The 13087-nt window shown below is 35.4% G+C and overlaps 1 long non-coding RNA gene across 16 annotated transcripts in view; it reads left to right on the forward strand.

The window, feature by feature from the left end:
* The window catches only part of LINC01811 (long intergenic non-protein coding RNA 1811), a 276733-nt gene that overhangs the window by 162407 nt on the left and 101239 nt on the right, over nucleotides 1-13087 (forward strand). For 3 of the 16 annotated variants that reach the window (NR_183686.1, NR_183679.1, NR_183685.1), the window contains one exon: nucleotides 1578-1828. The exons of the other annotated variants lie outside the window; for them this stretch is intronic. This is a non-coding gene — a long non-coding RNA (long intergenic non-protein coding RNA 1811). The remainder of the gene's footprint in view (nucleotides 1-1577; nucleotides 1829-13087) is intronic. 16 annotated transcript variants of the gene reach the window in all.

A 13087-nucleotide genomic window follows, 5' to 3' on the forward strand; every position in this document is an offset into this window, starting at 1 on the left:
ATCATTAGGCCTCAGTCCTTGGCCAGGCATGGCCTGTGTTGGCATTGTGCACATTTGACCAAGAGCCTTCTCGTTGATTTTGGTATGCATCTGGCTTTGGGGAGATCAGTGGTAGCAGCTAGGTATGGACCAGACCGTCATTGTAACAGTAGCCTTGATTATATTCCATTTTTCTGGGCATGCCATGATAGGAAAGTGGGATATACAGGTCACATACCAATTAGGTCAGGATGCCCTGGCAGCAGACTTACTTGTGGGACATCACAGCAGCAGGAACACATAAGAAGGGCATAACAGGGTAACTAACTATTCTTCTCCGTGAAGAATACATGGTGCTTGACATAGGAGTAGGGTACTATGGTTCTGATTCTCAATGAGCTATTAACCTAGAGGAATTGGAGGAGTAAATTATGGAATATAAACAAAGTGGAATGAATAAGTACTAAATTCAACTATTTTGTTCATCCACATTCAATTAAATACATTGTTTCAAATTGTGATAATTTGCAAAGAAAAGCATAGTATTCTAGATAGAAGTATAGTATGTATCAAGACCTGGGGCACTGAAAGGAAGTCAAAATCCATGGCTTTTTTTTCCTGGAAAAGTCTGGCAGGCCCCTGTGTCAGGAGCATAGAGTTGGTAAACAGAAATTGTGAGAGATGAAGCAGCATAATCCTTTTAGGTTCAGACCCTGAGAAGCTGTGCTAAGGATTTTTGATGGGATTGTGTAAACAATGAGAATCTGGAACAGATTGTTCAGGAAGGAAGTGGTCCAAATCACACAGGAAGAAGACACACCTGTTGGTTGTATGGAGACCTGGAAAGTGAGAGAGTAAAAGAAAAGGAGTGCATTAAGATGCCATCACAAGAACTGAGCCCCAAATGCTGAAGGCCTGGGTAAAACAGCACCTGTGGAGCAGGAAAAGAGAGGGTAGATATGGATATGAAAGCTTGAACAGTCCCCCCTCAGTGATCGGAAGTGTAAGAGAGAGGATAATCAGAGATAGCTGAAAGCTTTTAGTATAGGTGTCTTTTTTGGAAATTAAGAATCAGTCTTTTTTTTTTTTTTTCAGGGTCTCACTCTGTCACTCAGGCTGGAGTGCAGTGGCACAAACATGGCTTACTGTAGCCTTGACCTCCCAGGCTCAAGCTATCCTCCTGCCTCAGCCCCCACACCCATCTCCCAAGTAGCTGGGACTATAGGCACACACCCACCACACCTGGCTAGTTTTTGCATTTTTTTGTAGAGATGGGTTTCACCATGTTGGCCAGGCTGGTCTTCAACTCCTGAGCTCAAGCAATCCCCCTACCTTGGCCTCCCAAAGTGCTGGGATTATAGGCATAAGTCACCATGCCCAGCCAAGGATCAGTCTTATTGAATGAAGTGTCACTTACTTGCCAAGACCATTATGGACACACACCTTTGAACGTAGTGTGTGTGGGGTGGTGATGAGAACTCTGGGCTAGGAATTAGAATACCCAAGTCCACTATTTACCTAACTGAAAATAAAACTGTTAACCTCTTTAGGCCTTAATCTCATCTTTATTAATATGCATGACTTACTGATCTTTTCAGGTGAGGACAGTCTGTTCTGAAGGTCTACACATTAATGCTTCCTATTGGGAATTCAAATCGGCAATTTGTTCTTCTTCTGGTTGTTTGAATCTTCAAAATAGAGGGAAGACACCTGGATGAAACATTTTCACAGACTCTGCAATTCCCTTAAGAGGATCCCAGAGCCCTTAAGCTTCTCTTAGATTCCTCTGATTTTTTTCAGCCCAAGGACTGTTACCACATGTCTTCCATCTTGCCCACAATTTTAGCAGGTGTGTGTAGGTGGAGCTCAAAGTTAAAAATAACTCCAGTAAACTCACATATCTTTTTTCACAAATTGCTGTTCAGTTGAAACTCTTAAATAGCCAGCGTTTTGCTGAGTGGTTAAACAGAACTATAAACAGAGACAGTGGTGCCACTAATAACTAAACTGTGCCTCTACCCCCTCACCCTAAAACCAACCTCCCTAAACCACATAGTAGCAACGTGATAATAATTACCTACATACATAAAGCACCAAAAGTATGATGGAATCTTTATTGGCAATGATTCCAATGTTGGATCACATGCTGAGAAAAAGGGTGTAACACTAATGAGCTTCTTAGAGCATAAATTCCAACAAATAAGTTATGTAGCTTCAGTACCTTAAATAAGAGAGCAGCCTGGCTCCAGAACCAGGGCAAGACTGAGAGGGGAATACCCAGTTCTGTCACCTTGGGAAAGTCAATTCAATTATTTGGTGATTTAAACTTGCTAATCCCATATTGGTTTAATTGTTGGTGGCCTTGGAGATACGAGGCAAAGCTATAGAAGGAAGGGATGTCTGCTGAAGGACTCAGATGAAGGATCACTTTGCCATTTCATGTGACTGAAGAATGTTTCATGGGGTTACTTTGAAACCCACCGAAATATCTGCATACTGGAATGAACTGGACATACGATTTTAAGCACATTGAAACAGAGTAATAGACTTCTCCCAACTTCTGTTCTATACAGCCATCTAAGCCCACAGCACTAATTCTTTCATTCTTTCACACCTTCATGAATGTGATCTATTAACAAAGAAATTCCTATATCATGGCTATGAATTAGCAAATGGTATCATCCTAAAACTTTAGAGATTTATGGGAAGAAACAGTAGAGATAAGAATGAAGAAAAAAAGAATGGATTAGTTTCCATTATCCTCATAGAGATGAATTGCCTACCTAGGAATTTAAGAAGACCCCTGGCAAACAAAACAAAACCAACCAAACAAAAAGCTTGATAAATTCCTCCTGACTGAACAAACAGGGCCTAGAAATGAGGATTAGTTACTGGCAATGAATATATGTGAGGAGCAAATTATAATCATGTTAGAGCTTCCAACAAACCCTATACAATGTTCAAGGATTTATACAGAGTGGGAATAATCCTGCAGTGGCACCCCAAATGGCCTGAGATGTGCATGTTGAACTGAAGGTCATGAGAATACTAGGCTAGTTTAGAGCGGGGATTCTTGTCTCAGTGGGTTTCCTTCTGTTTGGTTAGGTAGAAAGTTTGGGGAAGGGAGAAAAGGCTTAGGAGTTGGAAAGAATGTTTAGCCCCAAAGGATGTTTCTGTTCAAATCTGGTTTCTTCTGCCTGTATTCACCAACATACACCCATACCCATACTGTCTCTCAAAATATTACTATTTCTCAATAAATTCAAATTTTTTCTTTTTCTCACAGTCTTTTCCTAAAGATTTGAACACTATTATATTTGCTCCATATAACCTTCAATAGCACATAGGTCCTTAAACTAAACAAACATAAATATCCTACCATCACATAAGAATGAATAAACATAAAAACCTTCACCAATATTTCTATATATAGTATCTGTAACTGTTTATCTATTATCTATCTATCTATCTATCTATTATCTATCTATCTATCATCTATCTATAAAAATAGTAATAACAAGGATACCAGTATGGACAAATAGTCCATTAAAAAAGAACTTATTGCTATTAAAAGAATAAATAATAATTCAATGAGATCAGAGAGAAGATTGAGTCAATAAAACAAAAGTAGAGAATCATGAAACAATAATTTTTCATGGAAATAGGAAAAAGTTCTTGGAGACAAAAAATTAATTGGAATTAAAAAAAGATCTTCAAAGAAGTCTATTGCAGTAGGACTTCTGGACTAACTTGAATAATTTATCTGTTTCTTATTTCATTTTCCATTAGCCTTCCCAAAAGCTTATGTAGCTAGAACTCAGATAAAACAAATTTACCAAAAGAAAAAGAGTCTCAATTGTTTGGTGTTGTGAACACAGAAAGAAGGTTTGCTCCAGTCTCTGGCCAGGTGAATACCAGAGAAAGCTAATACTTTCCCTAATGATGGATATGGCGTGGCCATGAACCTGCTCCTTGTGAACTCTGCTTTTTATCATCTGCAGAGACCAGGGAAGTGTGGATATATTAATCAAATGCAGTAATCCCGTTGTTTGTCTACAGACCAGCCCTTTTATAGCATTTCTTTTCTCCGTACTTGTTTATCAAAACAGGCTCAGATTTGCACTTCCTCAAGGATGTAACATCAGAAGTGAGAAATTGTTTTTCAGCAACTGATATCCTCCTAAGAATATCCAGAAGAGTGGGGTTGAATTATTCTTAATTTCTTTGTTTTTTAAGGAAACAAAAGTTGACTAATGATTAGAGTGACCACGTAATGTATTTTCCAAACCAGACCCTTTCTAAGAGTTAAAATAAGAACAATTAGTTGTGCTAGGAAAATGGGCAAAATGAGATTAATGAGTCCCTTACCTATAATAAAAATAAAAACATATGTCTACCCAGGTTTCATTGATTTATCACACATTTCAGACCAAAACACAATGTCCAACACAAACTTAGTCATGTGATTTTAATTTTAATTTTCTTTTGAGGGAAAAACATGTATTAATCTATTGAAAAATGCTCTATGGAGGCTGACACATGCTTTCTTTTTTCCCTGATCCTTCTAAGGTAAGACAGTCATAAAGAAAACTTAAATAAATCAGTTACATGAAATAATGAACAATGATGCCCCTCACAGGAAACAGATTTAGGAGCCTGGTAACTGCAAGAGAAATACTCCCAGAGCTCAGAGAAAAATGAAGATATTAAAACTTTGTAAGAAAAGATATGTGGGGAACAGATGTAGGATATCAACTATACTTACAACAAAACTTAGAGAAAGAGCAGACTGTAAAACTGAAAATAAGAGACAACTGTGTAAAAGTACATTTCTCTAAGATTAAAACAAAATACAATCCCACCAAAACCAAATCTAGAGGTATGAAAGATTCGCTAAGGTCTAGACAAGATGAATAAATAGACACTCATTCCCCAAGATAGCCTAAAAATATTTTGAAATTCTAGGAATAAAGAAAAACCAAAATCCAAATCCAATACATGTCCATACAAGACAAAGGTAAAATAAAAAGTAAGCAATCATTTATTTATTCAGCAAGCATTTCCTGAGTACTGTGATGAATTGTGTTGTTCCCAAATTGCTGCCCTACCCGAAAAAGGATTAATACATCCCTGCTTGTTGCTTTGTGACTTGCAGTGTTTCCCTGTAGGAGAAACATGGCTCCCTGTTGTTCTTAGGCTTACCCATATGACTTCTTTTGGCCAATGGATTATGAGCAGGAGTGTTGTGTACAACATCTAAGCAGAAGATTTAAGAATGAGCTTTACCTGTGGTTCTGCTATTGTTCTTTCCTTTCTGCCAGGAGAAAAGATGTCCTAGAAAGGATCTGCTCTATCAGCATGGATTCTGGGATTTAAAAAAAGATATAAAGAGACCTACAGCTGTAGAACAGAGTTTCAGCCTACCTGCTGCCAACACATAATGTGACTGAGATAAACTCTTGTTGATTAAATCAACTGAGCAGTTAGTTACCTGTTTCAGCAGTATAACAAAGAAAAAACTGACTAATAAAAGTTCCTAGGATGTTCCAGTTACTCTGCCTGGTGCTTGAAAATTAGCCGTCACGAATCTGCATGTTCATAGAACTTAGACTCTAGTAAGTTCTAAGTTGTATTATTATTTTCCTAAAGAACTAAAAAAATCAACTGCAAAAGTAGTAGGACTAATAAAAGAGTTTCCTACAGTGGCTAGTTAGAAAAATATGCATATAAAACACAATTAGGTTTATTGCATACTTGTGGATATTATTAGGAAAAATATCTCTGTCTTCATAGCAAGAAAATTATATAACATCCAGGAATATATAGTCAACAAGAAATGTGGCACAAGGAAAACTTTACTAAGAGATACAAAGTGAATGAGAAGATTTAGCACTGTGAAGGTATTAATTTTCACCCAAGTAACTTATACACTTACTGTAAGGAAAAAGCTGAAGTTTAGAAATTGTAAATAACTTACTTGAGGCTGCAGTGCCAGCAAGAAAGGAAGTCAGACTCTGAAATCTAATCTCTCAGACCGTTTTCATAATTTCATATACCGCCAACCTGCTAAGAAACAAAATGTATGTGTTTTGGAATAAAGGTAACATTTAACCCTAAAATTCCACGAGGAAAGCAGGTGTATATGTTCTGACTAAGTGAGAGAATCATTAGTTTAATTCAGACCTTCCTCAAAGGTTTCTTTTCTATTGCTTTCTTCACACATGGATAACTCCAGGTACATCATCCACATCATCTAGATGCTGGAAGCATTGCTATTTTCAACAAAAATAATCCTTATTCAAAGTTTCAGTAGTGTTCTGGCTGAATCTTCAGACACCAATGCCACTTCCCTGATGGATCCCAGGGCAACTACTACATTCTTGAGGGCCAATACTGACTTTTGCCCTTGTCCTTGTTCTTGTTCTTGATGATATTTATCAAGTAGTTTCAGTAGTCACTGAAAGCTGTGGATCCCGTGCCTTGCCCTCTCTCCTGTGGTTGCTCTTGATAATGTATGACAACCATGTCCTAATTCATGTGCTTATTAGTCATCCCTCTTTGCACTTTCTCCAATGTCACCTTGGTCACTTTTGGTGCTTTTTGATACTCTGGCCCAAGAGACTAGGGTTTTTGATACCTGGTGCTATGAACCTTTTTTTGTGGTTCTCAAACAAGGTAAGCTTGAGAGTTTAATTTTTTAATTATTATTTTTTAATTGACAAGTAAAAATTGTGTATATTTATAGTATACAACATGATGCTTTGATACGTGTATACATTGTGAAATAGCTGAATCAAGCTACTTATGCATTACATACTTATTTTTTACAGTGATAACATTTAAAATCTACTCTGCACTTTTCAGGCATACAACATATTGCAATTAGCTGTAGACATCAAGAATGTACAATAAATCTCATGAACTTATTGCTCCTGTCTGACTAAAATTTAGTGTTTTTTTTGACCAACGTCCCTCTCCCACTCCCCAGTCTTTGGTAGCCATCATTTTACTCTTCGTTTCTATGAATTCGAGTTTTACCCTCCATATATAAGTAAGATCCGGTGGTATTTGCCTTTCTGTGCCTGGCTTATTTCACTTAACATAGTGACCTCCAGGTTCATTTATGTTGTTGGAAGTGACAGAATTTTCTTCATTTTTAAGGCTGGATAGTATTCCATTGTGTTTATATACACCATATTTTCTTTATCCATTTATTTGTTGATGGATACTTAGGTTGATTCCATATCTTGGGTATTGTGAATAATGCTACAGTAAACGTGAGCGTATAGTTAACTCTTTGACGTCTGATTTCAGATCCTTTAGATATATGCATAGAAGTGAAATTGCTGGATCATATGGTAGCTTTATTATTATTTTTTTGACAGGACCTCCATATGGTTTTCCACATGGCTGTACTAATTAACATTTCCTCCAACAGTGTGCAAGGGTTCCCTTTTCTCCGTATCCTCAACAGCACTTTTTTTTTTTTTTTTTTTTTTGGCTTTTTGATGATATCCATTCTAACAGCTATGAGGTGACAGATCATTATGGTTTTAGTTTGGGTTTCTCTGATAATTAGTGATGTTGGGCACCTTTTCATATACCTGCTGCCCATTTGTGTATCTTGTTTTGAGAAATGTCTGTCCAGGCCTTTTGTCCATTTTTAATCTGTTGTTTTATTTTCTTAATACTGAGCTGTTTGAATTTCATATATCTTGAATATTAACCCCTTATCAGATGTATGGTTTGCAAATATATTCTTCCATTTTGTAGGTTGTCTCTTCACTCTGTTGATTGTTTTCTTTGCTATGCTAAAGCTTTGTAGTTTGATGTAATCCCATCAGTCTATTTTTGCTTTTGTCGCCTATGCTTTCGAGTTCATATCCAACAAGTCCTTGACAAGACCAGCTTCATGTAGTATTTCTCCTACGTTTTCTTCTAGTAGTTTTACAGTTTTAGATGTTATGTTTGTTATTAATTCATTTTGAATTGATTTTTTGTATATAGTTTGAGAAGAGGGTTTAATTTCATTCTTCTGCATGTAGATATCAAGTTTTCTAATCACCAATTTATTGAAGAAGCTACCCTTTCTCCATTGTGTGTGCTTGGTATCTTTTCTGAAAGTCAATTGGCCATAAGTGGATGGGTTCATTTCTGGGCTCTCTATTCGATGTATCTGTTTCTATGCCAATACCATGCTGTGTTGATTAATGCAGATTTGTAGTAAATTTTGAAATCAGGTAGTATGATGTCTTCGTCTTTGTTCTTTTTGTTCAGAATTGCTTTGGCTATTCAAGGTTATTTATGGTTGCATATGACTTTTAGAATTGTTTTGTCTATTTCTGTGAAAAATATCATTGGAATTTTGATAAGGATTGCATTGAATATTTAGACCACTTTTAGTAGTATTTTAACAATATTAATTATTCCAATCCATGAATACAGGATTTCTTTCCATTTATCTGTGTCTTCTTCCATTTCCTTCATCAACATTTTATAGATTTCAGTGTACAGATCTTTCACTGTACACTGTGAAATTTATCTCTAAGTTTTTTTATAGCTATTGTAAATGATATTTTAAAGAATTTCTTTTTTGGATAGTTTGCTGCTAGCGTAATGTAGTGATAGTTTGCATACTAATGATTTCTGTGTGCTGATCTTGTATCTGCAAAAATTAGTAAGCAAGTTGTTTATGAATTCTAACAGTTTTTGGTGGAGTCTTTAGGACTTTGTATAAATAAGATCATGTCATCTACAAACAGAGACAATTTAACTACTTCTTTTAAACCAGTTTGAATCCCTTTTATTTCTTTCTTTTGCCTGATTGTTCTGGCTAGGACTTCTAGTACTATGTTGAATAGAAGTAGCAAAAGTGGGCAACCTTGTTGTATTGCTTCTGCTCTTACAGAAAAAGCTTTCAACTTTTCACCATTGAGTATGATGTTAGCTGTAGGCTTTTGATATATGGGCTTTATTGTGTTGAGGTACATGTCTTCTATACCTAACTTGTTGAGAGTTTTTATTATGAAAGGGAGTTGAATTTTGTCAAATACCTTTTCCACAACTGTTGAGTGATCACATTTTTTTTCTTTAATTTTGTTAATGTGGTGTATCACATTCATAGTTTTGCATATATCCAGTGATCACAGGAATAAATCCCAGTTGATCATGGTGAATGATATTTTAAATGTACTGTTTAATTTGGTTTGTGGCACTGGGTTGAAAACTTTTGCATCTACTTTCATTAGGCATATTGGCTTGTAATTTTTTTTTTTTCTTATAGTGTCCTTCTCTGGCTGTAGTAGCAGGGTAATGCTGGACTTGTAAAATGGGTTTGGAAGTATTCCTTGCTCTTAATTTTTTGAAACAGTTTGAGAAGGCTTGGTATTCTTTAAATATTTGGTAACATTCAGCTGTGAAGCTATCAGGTCCTGGGGTTTTCTTTTGTCATCGGAAATTTTTAATGACTCTTTCAATCTCCTTACTTGTTACTGATCTGTTCAGATTTTCTGTTTCTTCCTGATTTAGTTTTGGTCTAGAATATTATCCATTTCTTCCAGATTATCCAGTTTGTTGGTTTATAATTGTTCATAAGAGCCTTTTATGATTCTTTGTATTTCTGTGGTATTAATTGTAATGTCTTCTTTTAAGATTCTGATTTTAGTTATTTGAGTCCTCTCTTTTTTAGTCTAGTTAAATATTTTTCAGTTTTGTTTATCCTTTTATAAAACCAACTGTTTGGTTAATCTTATCTGTTGTTTTTCTAATCTATATTTTTTTATTTCTGTTCAGATCTTAATTATTTTATTCCTTGTGCTGATTTTGGGCTTAGTTGGTTTTCTTTTCCTAGTTCCTTGAGATTGACATTTGATTGTTATTTGAGATCTTTCTTCTTTTTTCAAGTTGGTATTTCTTGCTATAAAATATCCCATTAGAACTGCTTCTGCTACATCCCATAATTTTTGGGATGTTGTGTTTTCATTTTTGTTTGTCTCAAGAAATATCTGTATTTCCCTTTTAATTTCTTCATTGACCCATTGGTTGTTCAGGAGCATGTTGCTTAATTTCCATGTTTGTAAATTTTTTGAAGTTTCTCCTATTACTGATTTTAGTTTCATACCATTGTGTTTCAAAAAGATACTTTATATAATTTCAATCTCAAATTTGTTTAAACTTATTTTGTGGCCTAACGTGATCTACTCTGGAGACTGTTTCTTGTGTCTTGAGAAGAATGTGCATTCTGCAGCTATTGGATAGAATGTTCATTTATCTGTTAGATCCATTTAGTCTAAAGTGTAGTTCAAGTCCAATGTTTCTTTTTTGATTTTCAGTCTGGATGATCTGTCCATAGTTGAAAGTTGGGTATTGGAGTACCTACTGTTATTGTATTACAGTCTATGTCTCTTTTCAGGTCTATTAATATTGTCTTCACATCTTTAGATGCTCTGATTTTGGATGAATATATATTTATAATTATATCTTCCAGATGAGTTGACCCCTTTATCATATAGAATGATCTTCTCTGTGTTGTTTTACAGTTTCAAATTAGTCTGTTTTATCTAACATAAATACAACTACCCTTACTTTCTTTTGGATTTTATTTTTATGGAATATCTTTTTCCATCCTTTCACTTTTAATCTATGTGTGTTCTTAAAGGTGAAGTACATTTCTTATTGGCAACACATAGTTGGGTCTTGTTTATGTATTCAGTGACTTTATATATTTTGATTGGATAATTTAATCTATTTATATTCAAGGCAATTATTAATAGGTAAGAACTTATTACTGCCATTTTTATTGTTTTCTGATTGTTTGGTACATCTTTTTTTCCTTTATTCTCTCTTGCTATATTCTTTTTTGATCAGGCAGTTTTCTCTATTGAAATACTTTGATTATTTACTTTTTATCTTTCTCTTTTCCCTTTTCTTTTCTTTTTTCTTTCCTTTTCCTTTTCCCTTTCCCTTTTCCTTTCCTTTCCCTTCCCTTTCCTTCTTTCCTTCCTTCCTTCCTCCCTCCCTCCCTGCCTCCCCCCCCCTTCCTTTTTCCTTCCTTCCTTTTTTTTTTTTTGAGATGGAGTCTCACTCTGTTGCTCAGGTTGAAGTGCAGTGGCACCATATCAGCACAATGCAAGCTCCACCTTCCGAGGTCAAGCAATTTTCCCACTTCAGCCTCCTGAGTGGCTGGGATTACAGGCATCTGCCACATATCTGGCTAATTTTTGTATTTTTAGCAAAGGTGGGGTTTCACCATGTTGGCCAGGCTGGTCTAGAACTCCTGACCTCAAGTGATCCACCCACCTTGGCCTCCCAAAGTGCTGGGATTACAGGAATGAGCCACTGTGCTTGGTTAGTTTTTAACTTTTGTGTATTTACTATAAGTTTTGCTTTGTGGCATGAGACTTACATAAAACAGTTTATAGTTACAATAAGATATTTTAAGCTAATAACAATGTGTCTTTTTTGATAACAATGTGTCTTTGACAGCATAAAAAACTATACTTTTACTTCATCCCCTTATATTTTATGTTTATGGCACATTTTACATCATTTTATATTGTATATCTCTTAAATATTATAATTACTCTTATTTTTAATAGTTTTATCTTTTAACCTTTATACCAAAAATACAGATAATTTATACACCACTATTACAGTATTGGAGCATTCTAAATTTGCATCTGTACTTTTACCATGGAGTTTTTACTTTCATATATTTTATATTACTACTTAGTGTGCATTCCTTCAGCTTCAGTAACTTCCTTTAGCATTTCTTGCAAGACCGTTCTGATAGTCATAAACTCCTTCAGCTTTTATTTGTCTGGAAAGTCTTTATCTCTTCATTTCTGAGGAACACCTTTGCCAGACAAACTACTCTTGGTTGGCAGTTTTAAATTTATTTAGCAGTTTCTCTCTTTCTTTCTTTTCTTTTCCCTTTCTTTCTTTCTTTCTTTCTTTCTTTCTTTCTTTCTTTCTTTCTTTCTCTCTTTCTCTCTTTCTTTCTCTTTTTCTTTCTTTCTTATCTCTCCCTCTCTCTCTCTCTATTTCTTTCTGACAGAGTCTCACTCTGTCACCCAGGCTGGAGTGCACTGGCACAATCTCGGCTCACTGCGAGCTCCGCCTCCTGGGTTCATGCCATTCTCCTGCCTCAGCCTCCTGAGTACCTGGGAACACAGGTGCCCGCCACCATGCCCAGCTAATTTTTTGTATTTTTAATAGAGATGGGGTTTCACCGTGTTAGCCAGGATGGTCTCGATCTCCTGACCTTGTGATCTGCCCGCCTTGGCCTCCCAAAGTGCTGGGATTACAGGCATGAGCCACCATGCCTGGCCTATTTAGCACTTTTAATATGTCATCTCACTCTCTCCTGGCCTGTAAGGTTTTTTTGTTGAGAAATCCGCTAACCTTAGTGAAACGTCCTCGTATGTTATTTGCTTTTTTTTTTTTTTTTTTTTTTCTATTTCTGATTTCAGGGTCTGCTGTCTGTTTTTGATTTTTGACCAACCATTATATGTCATGATGTATAGTTTTGTTTGGATTGAATCTGATTGGAGACTTTTGGCTCCTATACTTGGATATTTGTATTTTTCTCCAGATTTAGAAATTTTTCTATAACATTTCTTTATATAATCTTTCTGACCTCTTTTCTCTCTCTTTTAAAAACACCTATAATTTGAATAATTGTGCTATTGATACTGTCCCACAAATACCATCAGCTTTGTTCATTCTTTTTTCTCCTCTCACTATATATTTTCAAATAACCTGTCTTCAAGTTTACAGATTCTTTTTCTGCTTGATCAGTTCTGCTGTTGACACCCTTTATTGTATTTTTCATTTCACTCATTATATTTTTTTCTCCAGAATTTGATTTTAAAAAATTATAATTTTACTGTTAAATTTCTCATTTTGGCCCCATTTACTGTTTTCCTTTTTTTAAAAAAAAATTTCTCTGTATTTTCTTGAATTTATCTGAACTTTCTTCAAGCAATCATTTTGAATTCTTTGTCAGTCATGTTCTATATCTTCATTTCTTTGGGGTCAGCTACTGGAAAATTATTGTGGGTTTTTTTTTTTTTTTTTTGGCAGTGTTATAGCTCCTTGGTTTTTAATG

The sequence above is a fragment of the Homo sapiens genome, chromosome 3 (assembly GCF_000001405.40).
Source record: "Homo sapiens chromosome 3, GRCh38.p14 Primary Assembly".
NCBI lineage: Eukaryota > Metazoa > Chordata > Mammalia > Primates > Hominidae > Homo > Homo sapiens.